The sequence below is a fragment of the Homo sapiens genome, chromosome 19 (assembly GCF_000001405.40).
Source record: "Homo sapiens chromosome 19, GRCh38.p14 Primary Assembly".
Classification (NCBI taxonomy): domain Eukaryota; kingdom Metazoa; phylum Chordata; class Mammalia; order Primates; family Hominidae; genus Homo; species Homo sapiens.
Window position 1 is genome coordinate 30,706,261 of NC_000019.10, and position 17,709 is coordinate 30,723,969.

General features: G+C 45.2%; 1 protein-coding gene and 1 long non-coding RNA gene across 32 annotated transcripts in view, besides 1 other annotated feature; one reads left to right on the plus strand and one right to left on the minus strand.

The window, feature by feature from the left end:
* ZNF536 (zinc finger protein 536) overlaps positions 1-7,326 on the plus strand; it is a 487,995-nt gene extending 480,669 nt beyond the window's left edge. For all 31 annotated transcript variants that reach the window (XM_047439770.1, XM_011527554.3, XM_047439763.1 and 28 more), the window contains one exon: positions 4,497-7,326. In XM_047439770.1, coding sequence (XP_047295726.1) covers positions 4,497-4,741 — 245 coding nt within the window. In that variant the 3' untranslated portion in view covers positions 4,742-7,326. The remainder of the gene's footprint in view (positions 1-4,496) is intronic.
* Positions 7,327-9,844: 2,518 nt separating this feature from the next.
* LOC105372354 (uncharacterized) lies at positions 9,845-13,434 on the minus strand. Its single transcript, XR_935897.2, has 3 exons — positions 13,289-13,434; positions 11,717-11,931; positions 9,845-9,951 (listed from the first exon to the last, which is right to left on the minus strand). It is a non-coding gene; the product is annotated as an uncharacterized LOC105372354 (long non-coding RNA).
* Positions 13,640-14,139: an enhancer, noted in NCBI's record as "H3K4me1 hESC enhancer chr19:31210807-31211306 (GRCh37/hg19 assembly coordinates)". NCBI's record gives its function as "activates a minimal SCP1, AML or CMV promoter by ChIP-STARR-seq in naive H9 embryonic stem cells {active_cell/tissue: H9 hESC(naive)}" and the evidence as "EXISTENCE:reporter gene assay evidence [ECO:0000049][PMID:30033119]".

Here is a 17,709-nt window from a genome sequence, read left to right on the forward strand (position 1 = left end):
GATCACGAGGTCAGGAGATTGAGACCATCCTGGCTAACACGGTGAAACCCCGTCTCTACTAAAAAAAATACAAAAAGTTAGCCGGTCGTGGTGGCGGGTGCGTGTAGTCCCAGCTACTCAGGAGGCTGAGGCAGGAGAAAGGTGTGAACCCGGGAGGCAGAGCTTGTAGTGAGCCGAGATCACACCACTGCACTGCAGCCTGTGCAATGAGTGAAACTCTGTCTCAAAAAAAAAAAAAAAGAAAGAAAATACAATAGACAGTTTTGCTGATGAACAAAAACAACTGAAGAATGGAAGAACTAGTGTCATCCTGGTAAACCGAGGCAGATTTATAAACAATAGTGAGGTTTGGTCGCTTTGTTTCATAGTGCTGCTGGCCTATTTGGATCATGGTACCAAGGGTTTTGGTTTTATTTTTTATTTTTACTTACTATTTGGAGTTCTTTACTCGAAAGACTTGTCATACGATAGTGACATTCTCCATCAATAAATTATTGCCATATAATGAATAAATGAATGACTTAGCCCTAGCTTTATCTGAGCCATGGTAATTAGGACAGTGGCCAGCCTTTGTCCATGAACTGCTACAGAGCTGCCCTTGGTAGAAACATAGAAAATACAGTCCATTTCAGAGAAGCTTTGGCCAAAGCCTCGAAACATTTCTCAGGTTTCCCGGTGTCTTGCTCCTTCTTTATGTTGTTTGGGATGACCTTCAATTGGCTTGTAGGCCTCCAGCTACAAATTGGGCCCGCCTTTTTCTTGCTTAATAGTGTCCATTTCAGAGTAGCTCGAACTCTCTCTCAGTGAGTCCTGGGCATAGCTTCGGGCCCACAGGGATGATAACTTAAAAAATTGGATGGCTGAATCTTGGGGGCTCTGTGTTGTCTCTAAGATGCTTGGCCAGGACGATCTACTTGGAACTCACTCATGCCCAGCTTAGTCCTGACTTAGATTCACCATTAAGGTACGGAGAATGGGTGTGGCTTTGCCCATCCCATTGCCTCTGATTGGCATCCTAATTCCATCCTTCAGTCTATGCCCTAACTCCCAGGTCATGAAGAACAGGGACCATTTGCATTTTTTTGTATAATCGAAAATTTGCATTGGAAATATGTCCCAGTTGTCCTTCGCCTCCCAACCCAGGGCCTTCCCTAGGTGACCAAGCCCTTAAGGTGAAAAGGGTGGCAAGACAGCAAATGGGCAGTCACCCTGGGGACTCCTTCTCTTACCTGGCAATCATGGCACTGGCCCCTCGTGCTAGCTGTGCTCTTCCTCCTGTGGTTGGCTGTCAGGAAGGGCCAACAGCAAGTGCACTGTTCTTGTACTTTATTTTGTTCTTAACTCCGAAGTCTGTAGATTTGCACATTGTCTTCTTGAAGTGGGAAGGTTGATGAAATTTAGCCTTGTCTTAGGGACAACAGTAGAAACAGAAGAAGCAGAAGCACTATCCAAAAATGTGTAATTCCTGGCAGGGCATGGTGGCTCACGTCTGTAATCCCAGCACTTTGGGAGGCCAAAGTGGGTGGATCACCTGAGGTCAGGAGTTTGAGACCAGCCTGGCCAACATGGAGAAACCCCATCTCTACTAAAAATACAAAAATTAGCTGGGCATGGTGGCTTATGCCTGTAATTCCAGCTACTCGGGGAGTCTAAGGCGGGAGAATCACTTGAACCCAGGAGGCAGAGGTTGCAGTAAGCTGAGATCATGCCACTGCATTGCAGCCTGGGTAACAGAGTGAGACTCCATCAAAAAAAAAAAAAAAAGAAAATCCAAAAATGTATAATTCCTTAGAAAAAGGCAAGGTGATACAAGAATATAATTAATAATTCCTGACTACCTGCTTTGTGCCAGGCACTGGGCTTGGCATTCATAACACTGAGATGGTCATGGTTCTTGCCCCAGGAATTCACGGCCTTTTTGGGAGGACCAGTACATACACTCAGGCCCACAAAGCAGGCATCCTGCTGATCAAAGCCTGAATAGAGAAGTGGGTTTGAGCCTGCAGAGAATGAAGTGGCATTTCAGAGAGAGGGTAGACAAGCAAGGGTATGGAGACACTGCACAGTGACGTCTATGTGCAGAGACCATCTGAGGTTTGGTTTGGTGTGGGCAAAAGGGGTTGTGCTGTAGCGTGGAATGGAAGGGTGTTTTAGGATTGAGCCATGAAAGTCCTGATTATTCCTTTGGAGGCCAGTGGCCATGAAAGATCTGGGGCAAATAAATCACAGGCTGAGCTTCTGCTTTAGGCACTCGCTCTGTTGTCCCTGGGGAGGACAGGCTGGCGGTGGGAAACTGGAAGCATGAAGGCCACCCGCGGGCTGCCATGTTCATAGTCTAGACAATAATTGGTACACACTGGACCTGGTTCTGAAGTCAGCATTGCAAAGGAAAAGATTCAACAGGTAGAATGGATTAGTCCTGGACACCAGTTGGTTATGAGGGAACAAAGAGGCAGTGAACTCCAGAAGCCCAACAAGAAGCAAGAATTTAGCACTGGGTGCAATTCAGTGGGAAAGTGAGCTTCTGCTTCCAACGTTGCATTGGATTCCTGTTTCTCAGGAACAAGACTGTTTTGCTAAATAGACGCAGGACTGCTATTACTGCTTTAGAAAAAGTGCTGAATATGTGTTTGCTTGTTCTCTGGAGCCAGTGATGGGGCTCTCCATTTATTTACTTGTTTATTTTTTTGAGCAAATGAAACCCAGCTCTGGGCCCTGACCTCTCTGAGTGCTGGGTGAAACAGCACATGAGAGCTTCCAGGAACGGCTCATCAACAGCTTCCCGGAAGCAGGGGAGATGCCATTGCTTCAGAATAACTTCCCCAGCCAGATGTTTTACCAGTTCCTCGAGATGGTAGAGTCTGTGCATGGCTGTGACGCATCAGGGTAGAGATGTTGCGCTTGGAGGATTAGGTGAACGTCCACAGGAATCCACCTCCTGTTCCAAATTACAGTCTTTCTAGGAAGGTTTCATTTCAAGAGTCACTATTCAAAATCTACCTTCTTTAAAACTCATGCTGGCCTTGATTACCTGTTCATCTTTCTCCTGGTCCCGACAACTTTCGCTGCTGCCCCTGAGACCCTCAGACTCTAGAAATCCCCCCAGCTCAGCCCTTCCAACTCTGCCTAAGAGCAAGACTCAGGTGACACCCCTCACTCACCCCACCCCCAAACACACGCTCCCTTGCCATTCTTGGTTTGCTCAACAATAAAGAGTCAACGGGAGGATCAGAACATGAGCTGGCTTTGCCCTGAGGCCTGAGTCAGACTCCCAGATGGAAGGATTTATGGTCTTTGTGCAGAATTGGGGTCAGCAAAGTGTAGCTCGTGGACAAAATCTAACTATTGCCTGGTTTTTTGTTTGTTTGTTTGTTCTTTGTGTTTGTGAAAGGGTCTTGCTTGTTGTCCAGGCTGTAGTGCACTGGTACCATCATAGCTCACTGCAGCCTCAAACACCTGGCTCAAGTGATCCTCCTGCCTAAGCCTCCTGAGTAGCTGGGACCACAGGCATGTCCCTGGCTAATTTTTAAATTTTTTTTGTACAGACAGTCTCACCATGTTGCCCAGGCTGATCTCAAACTCCTGGGCTCAAACGACTGACTTGCCTCAGCCTCCCAAAGTGTTGGGATTCCAGGCGTGAGCCACTGTGTCCAGCAATTGTTTGTTTTTATACAGCCTGTGAGCTAGGAATGGTTTTTCCATTTTTTTAATGTTTAGGAAAAAAACTCAAATGAGAATAATAGTAGTTCATCCCACATGAAATTTATATAAAATTTAAATTTCAGTGTCCATAAATAAAGTTTTGAATTTCATCAATAAAAAGTTGAGGAATATTTGTTTCCTGTCTTGTTCTCTAAATACCTACACAGTATCTTGGATTTTGCCTCTTTGCCTGCAAATCTGGGACTATTTATTATTTAACCCTTTATAGAAAAAAATTCAGATATGGGGAGACTTATCTTCAATTACCTAGAAAGTCTGGGTTCAAAACTCTAGCTAGAGCCTGGTGTGGTGGCTTGCACCTGTAATCTCAGCTACTTAAGAGGTTGAAAAGAGAGGGTCCCTTGAGGCAGGAGCTCGAGACCAGCCTAGGCAACATAGCGAGATCCTGTCTCTAAAACAAACAAACAAAATTGCTGGGCATTGTGGTGTACCTGTAGTCCCAGCTACTCTGGAGGCTAAGGCGGGAGGATGGCTTGAGCCCAGGAGTTTGAGGCTGCAGTGAGATATAATCGCACCACTGCACTCCCAGCCTGAGATGAGGAACGGGACTTGATCTCTAAAAACAACAACAAAAATATTCAGGGATGGGAAGATCTTCTAAATCTTAGCTTATGTGCCTGATGTATCGGCTGCTTTTCTCACTCTCACTATTTGATTTTTGCAAAGTAATAATAATATTGATCATACTGGTGATTGCAATTATGATCCTTTGAGCCCTGGGGGCCAGGAAGGTGTGAGCAACAGTGCTGACCGGCCACTCTTTCTGCCCACAGGTCACAGGCCTTTCCAGTGCCGCTACTGTCCCTACAGTGCCTCTCAGAAGGGGAACCTGAAGACCCATGTCCTCTGCGTCCATCGCATGCCTTTTGACAACAGCCAGTATCCCGACCGCAGGTTCAAGCGCTCCAGGGTCGACTCAGAGGCTTCTGGGAATTTCGAGGAGCCTACAGCTGTCAAGGCGGGGAGCTCTGCAGACCTCACGGAAGAGGGCGGCAAGGGCCAGGAGGAGACCAACTGAGCAGACCAACCTGTATATTGCAATAGTATTTTACACAGTTTTAACATTATGCATCTGGTAAAAGTTTGCTAACTGCATTCCAAGGGGAAAAAATCATGTACAACCCCCCAATAGTGTATAGAACATTTAAAAAATTTTAAAAGATATCTATATATATATTAAAAAAAAAAAATTCCCCAGCCCTTGAAAATGGCTGCTAAACTGTTACCCGGCAACAAGTACTTCCAAAACAATGCAGGTGGGAGAAAAGTGATTTCAAAAATTCTTGGTGCCCTCTGAGCTGGAGAGAGCTGGGGGCCCTTCCAACTCGAAAGTCGTCTTTGTCCAAAAATAATGCTCTTAACTGAAAAACGATACCATCTAAACGATTTAGTGTTGCGTTGAAGATGGAGGGGCTGTGTTTTCGTTGTTGAAAACACCTCTATAATCTGACACCAGCTGCTGTAATTCGCCTAGAACCCTAATGAGATGTGTCGGGAGGCAGCTGCGGTGCCAGTCAGACTGGAGCGGTCACTGCAGAGAAAATCAATTCACGTGGTGTTGTAACTGCACTCTTGGAGAAACCTTAGACGGCCCGCAGCCAGCGCCGGGGCTGACCGGCACTGCAGAGGATTGAGATCTTAAATGCGCATTTTTACAAAATACACAGCCAAATGAAATCAATGATCAGGAAGTGTCTGCAGACAAATGTCCATTGCAGGTTTGATGAGTAATTCCTTTTTTTAGATCAAATTGTTCTCGGTAGCCTTTTCTTCTTTTTTAAAAAAAAATTTTGGATGAAGAAGGAAGTTGCTATTAAAAAAAAGTAGGGTACATTATATAAAATGTTGTTAGAAAAACTAGCTAACCCCATCCATAGAAGATGCTGGTGAGCAATTAAAATTTAGGTAATAATAGAAAGATTTTTTTACTATGATTTTTAAAATTTTACTTGAATGAAGGCTGCTCCGGTCCTTATTATCGGATTTTTTTTCATGTGTTGGTTTTTATAAGTGTCACAGACATGAAGCAAGATTTTCTTCTCCAGCAAGCTCTTATGAAATAGCTTGTATTAAAATATGATCTAAACATCGTGCTCTCTATCTCTAATGACGAAAACTGTTTGAGTTAAAAATGTCTGTTTTTGTAAAACAAATGTGTTCTATATTTTTGTAGATTTTAGATTTTCTACTGATTGGATACTCCAAATTTATCAAGTTCTGCACCACACAGAAGGAGATTTTGAGTGTCAATAATGAAACACTTAACTCATTAAAAAAATGATTTAAGAAGACTAGTTAAAGGTTTATTCTTGAATCTGCTAGCATGGTGTAAAGTTGAGCCTTTTAACATACTTCCTTTGAGTGACATGAAATTGGTGCTGTTGCTTGTGGTGGTAGAGAAGTATGAAAGTATTAACTTCTTCTAAAACAAAATCATTCAGACTTAAAAAAAAAAAAAAGGTCAATATTTCCTTGCAGGCTGGGAGCACAGATTAAACCCCAGGGCCTTAAAAACTTCAGCTCTGCCTACAGCAGTTTACAAAAATACTAAACTGCAATCAATGTAAATAAAATTCTTAGTGCTATCCTGAGACCAGAAAGAATCTCAGGCTAATAAGGAATCCGGTTTGCATATGCTGTCAAAAGGGTGTCATCTAACCGAGGTTTCAGTGTAAATGAGGTCGCTGTGCAACTTGGACCCATCTGGCATAGAGCAAGCTGCTTTCTTGTTTTTCTAGTATAGTTCTCACTGCCTTACTTAAATCGAGTTGATAAACTTAATGCAACTGTTTCTATGATCCTAGAGAAAGGACTGAAATGTTATTGAAAACTTTCCGACTGTAGTAAGCTTTAGGATTTTGACTGCACTACTGTGTTTGGTGACTGTGCCAGTCCCTTGCTTTCTGTGTTTGCTCTGCCTTTGGTATCTTAGCAAAGAAAAATAAAAAAAGAAAAAAAAAACATAAAAAAAAAAGAAAAAAGAAAAAAAAGAGGAAAAAAAAGTGGGGGAAAAAATGAGAGCCACATTCCATTTCTAGCACTTTGGGAGCTCTTTCAGTATTTTTTTGTGTCTTTTCAGCATCCTCAGATGCGACAGGCAATAATTCTGTTTGTGACACTGGGAACATCCCCTCTTCTTTGTGGTGTGTGTTGATTCCATTTTGTCCAGTGCTGCTGTCCTTCCTCCCCCTCTGACACAGGCCTTCTTTCCAGAACATTTGTAACTTGTAATACAAACAAGTGACAGCCACAGTGATGCAGCGTCAGTTTCTGAATGTCATCAGGTTCTCATATCTAAACATGTCAAGTTTTTTCCCTGTAACTTCTGTAGTCTGTGATGCTGGTCATAATACTGTCTACATTCCTACGCAAAGAAAAAAAAATCTATCTTGGAGGAAATCTGAGATCAATAGGAGTAGAGGATTTTGTTGCTATGCTTGTAACAAGTAGAAAACTTTGTATTTAAAGTTTATTCTTGGTCATTATTTATTATTATAATACATCAGTTGACAGAACTTTATTCTGGTATAGAAAGTATTAAAAGTTGTTTTTTCAGCAATGACTGTTTTCTTTCTGCTGTTAGAATAAAATGTCTTTGAAGCAGCCCAGTTTTATCCAGTGTTTTACGCAATAAAACCTCTACCTCTGGGAAAAAAAATCACATCTTTTCCTACTCGCTTATGTTTACTAGGAGGAGTAAAACATATTTTTGCAGGTTTGTCAGACTTTGGCAAGACGTTGTCAAACTCCATGTATAAAAAGCCCTGTACTGGGCAGGGCGTGGTGGCTCACACCTGTAATTCCAGCCCTTTGGGAGGTGGATCATCTAAGGTCAGGAGTTCAAGACCAGCCTGGCCAATATGGCAAAACCCCATCTCTACTAAAAAGACACAAAATTGGCATGGGTCAAGCCTGTAATCCCAGCACTTTGGGAGGCTGAGGCGGGCGGATCACCTGAGGTCAGGAGCTCGAGACCAGCCTGGCCAACATGGTAAAACCCTGTCTCTACTAAAAATAACAAAAATTACCTGGGCATGGTGGTGCGTGCCTGCAGTCCTAGCTACTTGGGAGGCTGAGGCAGGAGGATCGCTCAAACCCGGGAGGAGGAGGTTGCAGTTAGCCGAGATGGTGCCATTGCACTCCAGCCTGGGCGACAGAGGGAGACTCTGCCTCGCACAAAACAAAACAGAACAAAAAGGCCGGTAGGGTCCTGCAGTACTAATGGTCCTCTCAGGCCTGTGCTTTTTCAAGCTGAGTCAACCTCTATGCCGCATACATAGTGTGTGAGTGGGGATGTGTGTGTGTGTGTGTGTGTGTGTGTGCACATGCATATGTGAACTATGCTTCTTTAAATGTTTGCAGACATGTGGTTCAGTAAGGTAAAGTCTATGGAAATACTAATGCTCTTCATATTACAGTAATTATATAAGGCACTTAGAGCATTGGGATCTATTATTTTCCTTTACTGGTAGAAAGTCTTTTTTTTTTAAGTCATTAAATGCAAGGGAGTCTTTTACGTCCATATTATTGGAGGATAATCGGAATTCTTCCTCTAGAAGAAAAGGAAAAGAGCAAAGGATGACAAAGTGTCTGGTAGCAGGGGCTACTGTGAACGCAGAGCTCCGACACGGAGTTGAGAGGGTTTGAAGTGCGTGCTCAACCCAGGATGTGAAGAGCTTCTTTTTGATTTGTTTTGTTGTTTTATTTTGGTCTCAAAACAAGCTAGGATAGTGCATATTCTATATCCAGATAGTTCTGGAATATGGAGGGCCCACTGAAATGTCACAAGCAAAGACAGCTGCCAAATTGTATAGAAATTTGTCTGTTTACCATGTTTCTTTCAGGGTGTGAGACTGTGTCCTTGGGTGGGAGCAGATGACTTAAACGGAATCATCGTCAGTTCTAACCGTCTGCTGTTATGAATATCAAAGGTGAGTTAAGGGGTTGTAGTGAGGAGGTCAGGAAGTAAACCCATGAGGGAGAGAAGACTGGAATGCAGAAGGTTGAGTTAGGGATTCTAACATCTACCCACACCACGTCCATGATGCAGCTCAAACCCACCAGAGCCACACAAGACACCAGAGTGGCGAGAGGAGAGTTGGAACAATCAGGGCTTAAGTGGGTTGCACAGCACGCCACTCTGATGGGAGGGGGTGCCGTGAGATCTCAGTAACTGCACATCATTGCCAAGAGGAAGGTGACATTAAATTTTCTGAGTTTTCAAGGTGTACTGGACACCTGGATTTTGTATTAAGTCTTCCAGTTTTTCCCTGTTGGCTCAAAATTTATTTTTAAAAACCACGTATGAATGAATGAACAGAATGTGTTACCACCAAAGAATGGAATATTATTCTGCCATAGAAAAGAACCTGAGATGTGGTACAACATGGATGAACCTAGAAAACAGTGAGAGAAGCCAATTACAAAAGGTTGCATATGATAGAATTCCATTTACATGAAATGTCTAGAATAGTCAAATCCACAGAGACAAAAGTGGATTAGTGCTTACCAGGGATGAGGGGGAGGAGAGAATGAACAGTGACAGCTAATGAGTATGAGGTTTCTTTTTGAGGTGGTAAAAGTGTCCTAAAATTAGATAGTTATGGTGGCTGTCCTTGGTGTCACTTGGTGTATATGCTAAAAAACACTAAATCGTGCACTTTAAAAGAGTGAATTTTATAGTATGTGAATTATATCTCAATTAAGCTCTTACAAAAAATAAAACTGTGAGTAGGAGGCATTTTTAAGAGGTAACAATATATATTTCCATCAATACATTGCTGAGTTCTCATACAGCCATAGATAATTGACAGATTAGTATAGTACAAATAATATAAAATTTGGGGTGTAATGGCTTAAATTTGAACCCTAGCTTTATTACTTACTGGATGCATGATGGTCTTGAACAATTTTTTTTTTGAGACAGTGTCTCACTCTGTCACCCAGGCTGGAGTGCTGTCGCACCATCACAGCCCTCTGAAGCCTTGAACTCTAAGGCTTAACCAATCCTTTCGCCTCAGCCTCCTGAGTAGCTGGGACCACGGGTGCATGCCACCATGCCCAGTTAGTTTTTAAATTTTTATCGAGATGAGGTCTTGCTATGTTGCCCACTCTGGTCTTGAAATCCTGTGCTCAAAGGATCCTCCTGCCTCTGCCTCCCAAAGTGCTGGGATTATAGGCGTAAGCCAATCTTGAGCAATTTAACTCTTCTCAGCTCATTGATAGTATCTGTAAAATTATGACAATTAAGTGCTGTACATAGGGAAATCATATGCACATTTCGTGAAGTACTCTACAAATGCTAGGTATTGTGATCATTGTGGCATAATGAATTATGGATGAATTTAAGATTAATGTCACATGCACAAAAAGCTAGACCTTGATAAAATCCCCATGCTTTGTAAAGGTCCCCTCATGGTCAGGTGGCTGGGATTCCCCACGTCCATCCCCTTCAGAAAAGATGACCCTAGACAAAGATCTTCAACTGCTGTTTTCTAATTTCCTCATTTGAAAAATCTGAGTATTAACAACTCTCTTGTCACTCACAGGGGTAGTAGCAAGGTGGCTGGTGAAAAGGGATGGATGCAATGGGAAAAAGATTAGTCTCAGTGGTAGATGTTATTCCACTCACTTGTTTAACACATATTTACAGAAGACCTACTGTGTTCTAGGCATTGGGTCACGGGCCAGAGAGAGATATATTGGTAAGTTAGGGATCATGTCCAGAGATCACTGTCTTAAGGGGAAAACAGATTTTGATTTCATAATCACACAAATAAATATAAACTGTCTGGAAGAGGAGATTCAAGGAGAACAGTAATTCCCCATGCGATGGAAGCTGATGATTTGCTGAGGGATGCAGGAGGGAGGGCCAGGCAGTGGAAGCAGTGCAAAGCCAATGTTCAGTGCAGACAGGACTCTCAAGTCCTGTCTTGGCCTCTCAGGAGCTGTGTGGCCCTGCTAGATCGTTCCATTTCCCTAAATCGGCTGCTCCTCTATAAAGTGGAACATCGCAGTGCCAACAGCAAAGACTCTTTCTGAGGTTAAATGAGATAGTACATGTAACAGCTATGGAGAGAACAAGCTAGACACTGCCATATTCAAAGGACAGTTCTCAAAAGTGACAGTGTCTGGAAACCCATGAGGACACGGAAATGGCGATGCCTGCTGCAGACCATGGCTTTCTCATCCTCATCGCCAAGGGCCAACATAGTGTGAGCCACATGACTTCTGCAGCACGTTACCTCTCACATCCCGATGCCTCATGCCCTTAGGAAGGAGTGGGTGAAAGTGTCCTGGGGCCAATTCAGGGTCTCTATGGCTCTGTCCATGGGCGTGGCCACCCTGAAGCAGCATAGTTTGCTGGAAGTGTTTCTAGAGGGTGATCAACCATCCTGGTTTCCCTGGGACTGAGGGGTTTCCCAGGACATAGTAATTTTAGTGCTAAAACCAGGGTAGTCCTGGACAAACACAAATATTCCCCCTAGGTCTAAGCTGGCTTCCTTTAAAAGCACGTGTCTTGTTTTGGCCAAGCCGAGGTTATGGCTGTCCCTGAGCTGGGAGGCCAGTGTGAGGCCCGGTGTGAAGGGGAAGCCATGGCTCCAGGGGGCCCATAGTATGGGCTTTGGCACTGGGAGACTTGGATTCAAAGCTTTCCTGCCACAGCATCTTTACCACAAAGATGAAAGTGACACAGTACCCAAAATACTTAGCGTGGCACCTGGCACGTGGGCATTATTTTATCCATTCTCATTGAGTGACTGAATGAATCTTTGTTCCTCCTTCTTACCCAGGTGGGAAATGGCTCAAATATGAATTTCTTTTCCTAGCAGCTAGAAGCTTCTGAGCTGCCGATATCTGGCATTAAGATGCTCTTTTGTGCTGAAACTTTTATAAAGACGATAACCCTGCTGTCTCCTGTAGTTTGGGATTTGCGCACTTCCCCCTCTCTGTTTAACATCTGTATTGTAACAGTATATTACGAAAACCTCACCTGGTGTATTGTAAGCACAATCCCAAGGAAATTAGTATTAAATATTGTGATCTTCATTTCAAGATAGAAGGGCTGGGCACGTTCCACCAAACTGGAGGTATGTTTCCATAGGGAAGGAGAAAAATTCATGGTGTAATACAATATTAAAAATGTCACCCAGCTGAGCATTCCATGTAGAAGCTTGTGTAGAGTTTTAATCTCTTCACCTGTTGGTGCTAAGAGAAAAGAGAGAGTTGGGGTGGGGGAGGGAGACCGGGAGGGAGAGGAAGGGCTTATGAGAACAGGGAAATCACAAGCAAAGAGGAGGGGGAAAATTTAAATGATCCCAGACCAAACTGTTTTGCTGTTAATACAGAAATACAGTGCAAGACACATTTAATGGGCTCTATTTTTTATTATACTATGCTGAATAATTAACTTTGAGGCTAAGTGTCACATGGATTTATCTTTTAATTAAAAAAGCATGGTTCACGCATATTTGAGTGGTAGTCCAAATAAATGCAATATAGAAATTTATGTTTGTTTATCTAGGTGTTAATTACCTAGAGATTGTCCTGGATTACTTCTTTTTATAAAGTGTCATAGGCTCGTGTCAGAACGAATAAAGCTTGGCCGTGGAACCTTATCAATTTGCTAACTATAGTGCCGGTCTGACCTGAGCAGGGAGGGCAGGGGAAAACTTTGGGGCTTGTTATGTATACACACGCCCGCATTCAACCCACAGCAAATAAAATAGTCGTTTTAGAAAATATTCCTAGGACATAAAGGCACAAATATATCTTCATTGTTTTACAGCCTCTTGTCCACAGCTATTTATAAAACATGTGATTATTTATGCGTTGGGTTATGAGAAGTTCGCTGGGAGAGGCTGTGAAGGAGGCTCTATCAATCCAGTTACCTGGTGCCCTGGAGAGGTGGAGGGAGGGCTTCCCAGTGGAAACTGGGCTGGGACAGGAAGTTGGCTACTGTGATTTGTCTAACATGTGTCAACCTCCCGGCTGCTCCCAGAAAAGCCAGACAGAGGGATGACAAAGTTGAGGGTTAGAGGTCACATTAAAAAAAAAAAATCATGAATGCACACTGAGAAAGTGAAACCAGAAGCCCCTAAAAATTGTTCATCATACCTTGAGGCAGCCCCTGCCTTTTTCTTTGTTTACAAAGTGATTTTGGGGTGGCAGTTTCAGTTAAATGGTTTGGAAGAAACCGAGGGTTTTGGCCAAAAGGTTCTACTTTAAAGAAATAGATTTTGTAAGGGCAAGAAGAATTCCAGACAGAGCTGGGAGTGTCTAAGTTGGGTGCCCGCTTTTGTTGGGGAAGTTTGTTTCCCTTGGGTTTTCTGCCTTGCTTGTCTTCTTTTTCCTACGCACCACACCTCCATTTTTGGCAATCAGATACCAGAAAATCAATACAAGTAACTGCGGGTCCCTGTGGGCTGCACCCGGCTGGATGGACTGTTCTCCTGGGGTTCAGGAAAGCCTAGGGGAGACAGGCACTGGTATTCAACTGTGCTCGCTTCTCTCCAGCTGGAGCCGAGGGGAGCCATCGAGACCCCTAAACAGCAAACTCTCCTACCGTGGAAGCTCTCTGCTGGGTAGGGTTTCATTTTCATTTTGTGTTTCCTTCCTCTTGGAGCCCGTGCGGGCTGGTGGGGCGGCTCACTGTCAGCTCCGTGATCCCGCGCTTGGCCGCGCGCCTGGAGAGGTGCGCCCGGGCCAGGAGCAGAGCAGGGCGCGGCGCCAGGCGGGGGCGCCCGGGGCCTGCGTGTCGTCGCGGGTGGGGGCGGGTGTCCTCGGGCGCGCACCCGCTGCGGCCTCCGGCTCTGGACCAGCCCGGTGGCTCCAAGGGATCAAAGCGAAAAACAGCTTTGGCCGCAAAGGGAGAACGCCCTGAGCCAGCTCGTCCCTAAGGACTCGTCTTTTGGCGAGGAAGGGGACGCCTAGGCCCGTATGGGGCGCGCTGTGGCCTGGGCCACCGCCGAGGGCGCGTGGGTCCTGCGCGGCGCCTGCTGTTCACTGCATTACTCGGACAAGGATCAGAGCCTCTTTATCTTTTAAATTATTAACACTTAACTGTTTTCCTCCCCAAATCGCTGCCCATTTCCTCCCCAGGATCACTGCCTTTATCAGAAATTGGGCCCGGCAGCACTGGGGCGTGAGGTGGAGGCACCGCTGGGAGGAGCTGGGCAATCTTTTGTGCTTGAGTCATGCCAGATACTGTGCTGGGTGCTGGGGACGCGGCGAGGACAGGAGAGGAGGGTCCCTGTGTCCTCTTGTGCCCCCTGCCCAGTCACAGCAGAATTCAACAAATGAGGCGATTCCAGAGCAGACAGAGCTTTAGAAAGTGGGGGTCAATTAATGCTCAAAGAAGGCCCTTAGTGCTGAGCTCTGAGAAGCACTTGCTGGCTGCCAGCAGATGCCCCGAAGCCTTGTTCCAAAAGAGAGACCTGAACCAAGAGGGGAGTGGGAGGTCTGGGCTTTAGAGGTGGTCAAGCAAGGGACCCCACAGGGCTTTGGAAAAGAGGCTATTGGGCTGGAAATGACACAGAAGAGTCCACATGGCCATGTGATATTGGAATATCAGGGTTTTTTTTTTTAATTAATTAAGCTGAAATTCACATAACATAAAATTAACTATTTTAAAGTATACAATTCAGTGGCATTTAGTACATTTTAAGTTCCTATTTTCATTACCCCAAAAGAAAACCCCAGGCCAGGTGCGGTGGCTGACGCCTGTAATTCCAGCACTTTGGGAGGCCGAGTCAGGTGGATCACTTGAGGTCAGGAGTTCAAAACCAGCCTGACCAACATGGTGAAACCCCGTCTTTTTTAAAAATATAAAAAACTTAGCTGGGCGTTGTGGTGGGCACCTCTAATCCCAGATACTCAAGAGTCTGAGGCAGGAGAATCGCTTGAACCCTGGAGGCAGAGGTTGCAGAGATCACATCACTGCACTCCAGCCTGGGTGACAGAGTGAGACTCCGTCTCAGAAAAATATTTGAAAAGAAAGGAAAACCCCAAACCTGTTCAGCAGTTATTCCCCATTCCCCACTTCTCCCCAGCCCCTGGCAGCCACCACCCAGCTTTCTGTCTGTACAGATTTACTGATTCTGGATATTTTATATATGTGGCATCCTACATTATGTGACCTTCTGTGTCTGGCTTCTTTCACTCAGCATCATGTTTTTGTGGTCCAGCCACTTGGTAGCATGTATCAGAATGGCATTCCTTTTCTGTTTTGTTTTGTTTTTTGAAACAGGGCCATGTTCTCTCACCCAGGCTGGAGGGCAGTGGTACATCTTGGCTCACTGCAACCTCCACCTCCTGGGCTCAAGTCATCCTTCCACTTCAGCATCCTGAGTAACTGGGACTACAGGTGCGTGCCACTACACTCGGCTAATTCTTTTTGTTTTTTTGTAGTTTTTTAGAGAAGGGGCTTCACCATGTTGCCCAGGCTGGTCTCGAACTCCTGGGCTCAAGCAATCCACCTGCTTCGGCCTCCCAAAGTGCTGGGATTACAGGCATGAGCCACTGTGCCTGGCCTGTCATTCTTTTTATGGCCTGCATCAGAGGCCCTACGTGCTCTGGCCTTGCCAATCTCTCCAACCACCTTTTTCTCTTCCCCTCTAGGTACCCAATTTCTTTCTTCTTTATGGTAGTAATCACTACCTGGAAATACCTTGCTTACCCCTTTCTTTAACTGCTCATGGTCTACCTTCCTTATGAGAATGTAAGCTCCCTGAGAGCAGGGCCCTCAGCTGGGGGTTGTTTGTAACAACCGTGTTACAAACAGTGTCTATTAACAGCACGTAGGACCTCAAATAAATAGATATTGAATAAATAAAAATTCCCAGCACAATTTTCTTTGATAATAATCACTAGATTTTTATGGGAATGTTGTTAGCTTAAAAAAAAAATGGGCCAGGCACGGTGGCTCTCCTGTAATCCCAGCACTTCAGGAGGCTGAGACGGGCAGATTGCCTGAGCTCAGGAGTTCACGACCAGCCTGGGCAATATGGTGAAACCCCATCTCTCCTAAAATACAAAAAGTTAGCCGGGCATGGCGGCGTTCACCTGTAGTCCCAGCTACTCAGGAGGCTGAGGCAGGAGAATAGCTTGAACCCGGGAGGCAGAGGTAGCAGTGAGCCGATATTGCGCCACTGCACTCCAACCTGGGCAACAGACAGAGACTCTGTTTAAAAAAAAAAAAAAAAAAAAAAGAGCTCCTTCTGCAGTCTTCAGAAAAGTGACCCCCAACAAAGAGTAATATTGACTAGACTCCACAGCAGACCGGCAGTGTTTTGGAGAACTTAGGCGTGGTCCCGTTTGCCTTTAGTATGGGCTGTGTCTGCATGTGGAGGGAAGGCCTGGCAAAGCAAGACTGACGGCCCCCTTCGCGCCAGGATTGTCTAAGACCAGCTCCCTACAGAGGGACTTGTGGCTGCAAATGGGAAACTTGGATCCAGTCCAAATCTACTCTACGAGGCACATCCCTCCTTCTCTCTGCACTTCAGTTTCCTCATCTATAAGAGAAGCTGTGAGCATCTGCAGCACAGGCTTACTGCGGGCAGCAAGTAAGACCATGGAAAAGTGCTTTCCAATTGGAAATGCCCCCACACAATCGTTAATGTTTAAAAAACCTTGTGCACCCTGCCCATGCCCAGTTGTGGGCAGGGATAACAGAGCCAGCGGCTTGGCCAGGGTCTGCTGCAGCCACCCCAGGTCCCTCTCCCAACCCATTGACCCTGGCCACCCTCCAGCCTGCGAGCCTGGGGTCAATGCCTCCTCTTAATGCCTTGCCATTTCTTAGTTTGCTGACTGGGGTGATTTTCGGTGAGGTCCACATAAATACTTCAAAAATAATTCATGATGAAGAGGAACGCTTCTGGAATGGATGATGGCACGACAAATTAAACGCTTTGTAGGGCCAAGCGTAAATTATTTTAATGCATGTAATAGATCCGCCCAGGGAGACTTGAGCCCCTCTCGGTCATGCCTCTGTGCCCCCAGGGCCTGGAGGGTGGTGGGAGCAGGTGGCTGGGAGCCTGTTCTGCTGGGGTGTGAATCATTTCCTTCTCCAAAGACCTATTCCCCCAGCACTTAGGTCCTCCTAACCTGAGGAGAGAATGGGAATGTGTCGATGTCTGGCCAGGCGGAGGCAGGAACCAGGAGACAGATGAGGCAGTGTAAGAGCATTTGTTAGCCATGACGACGGCCTGACCCACACCCTGCCTTCCATTCATTGTCTGCCCCTCTGGAGGGGGAGTGAGGAATGCTGCTGTGTGGCACCAGACATTTAAAATATTTTGTTTCCCTTGAAAATGTTTGGCAGCAAGACTAATGTCCCAGTTGAGGCCATCAACAAGCCATGTTTTACATTTGGACTTATTTTATGGGAGTGCGGGAAGGAAAGAGAGGCGATTATGTCCGACAAACCCATTCCACAGAAGAGAATGCTGAGAGCCCAGAAAAGCTCAAGATGTTGAGTTTCCAGACATAGAAAATAAACACACTTGTTATATCAAAAAGGCTATCTATGTAATATTCACCAAATGATATCTAAAGATTGTTGTGGTGGTTCCATAAATACTGAAGTAGGCTTGTAATCCCAGAGGAAAGAATTCATTGATTCCAGAATGTGCTCCCGTGACCCCCATGGTCAGGCAGAGCATGGGAATAGTGCTTGTGGTTGTTGATCAGTTATCGCATATCTGGAGAGAAGCTTTCGTTCACTCAACATTTAATGACCATGCGCTAGTTCCGGGGTCGTGTGCAGGGCATTGGAGGTACAACAGGAGCAATGCATGGGCCCTGCTCTCAGGAAACTCATGACTGCTTGATGACCTCAGGAAAGACTCAAGTCAGAAATGCTGCAGTAACTTTGGCCAGGCACCGTGGCTCATACCTGTAATCCCAGCATTTTGGGAGGCCGAGTTGGGCAGATCACCTGAGGTCAGGAGTTCGAGACCAGGCTGGCCAACAGGGCGAAACTCCATC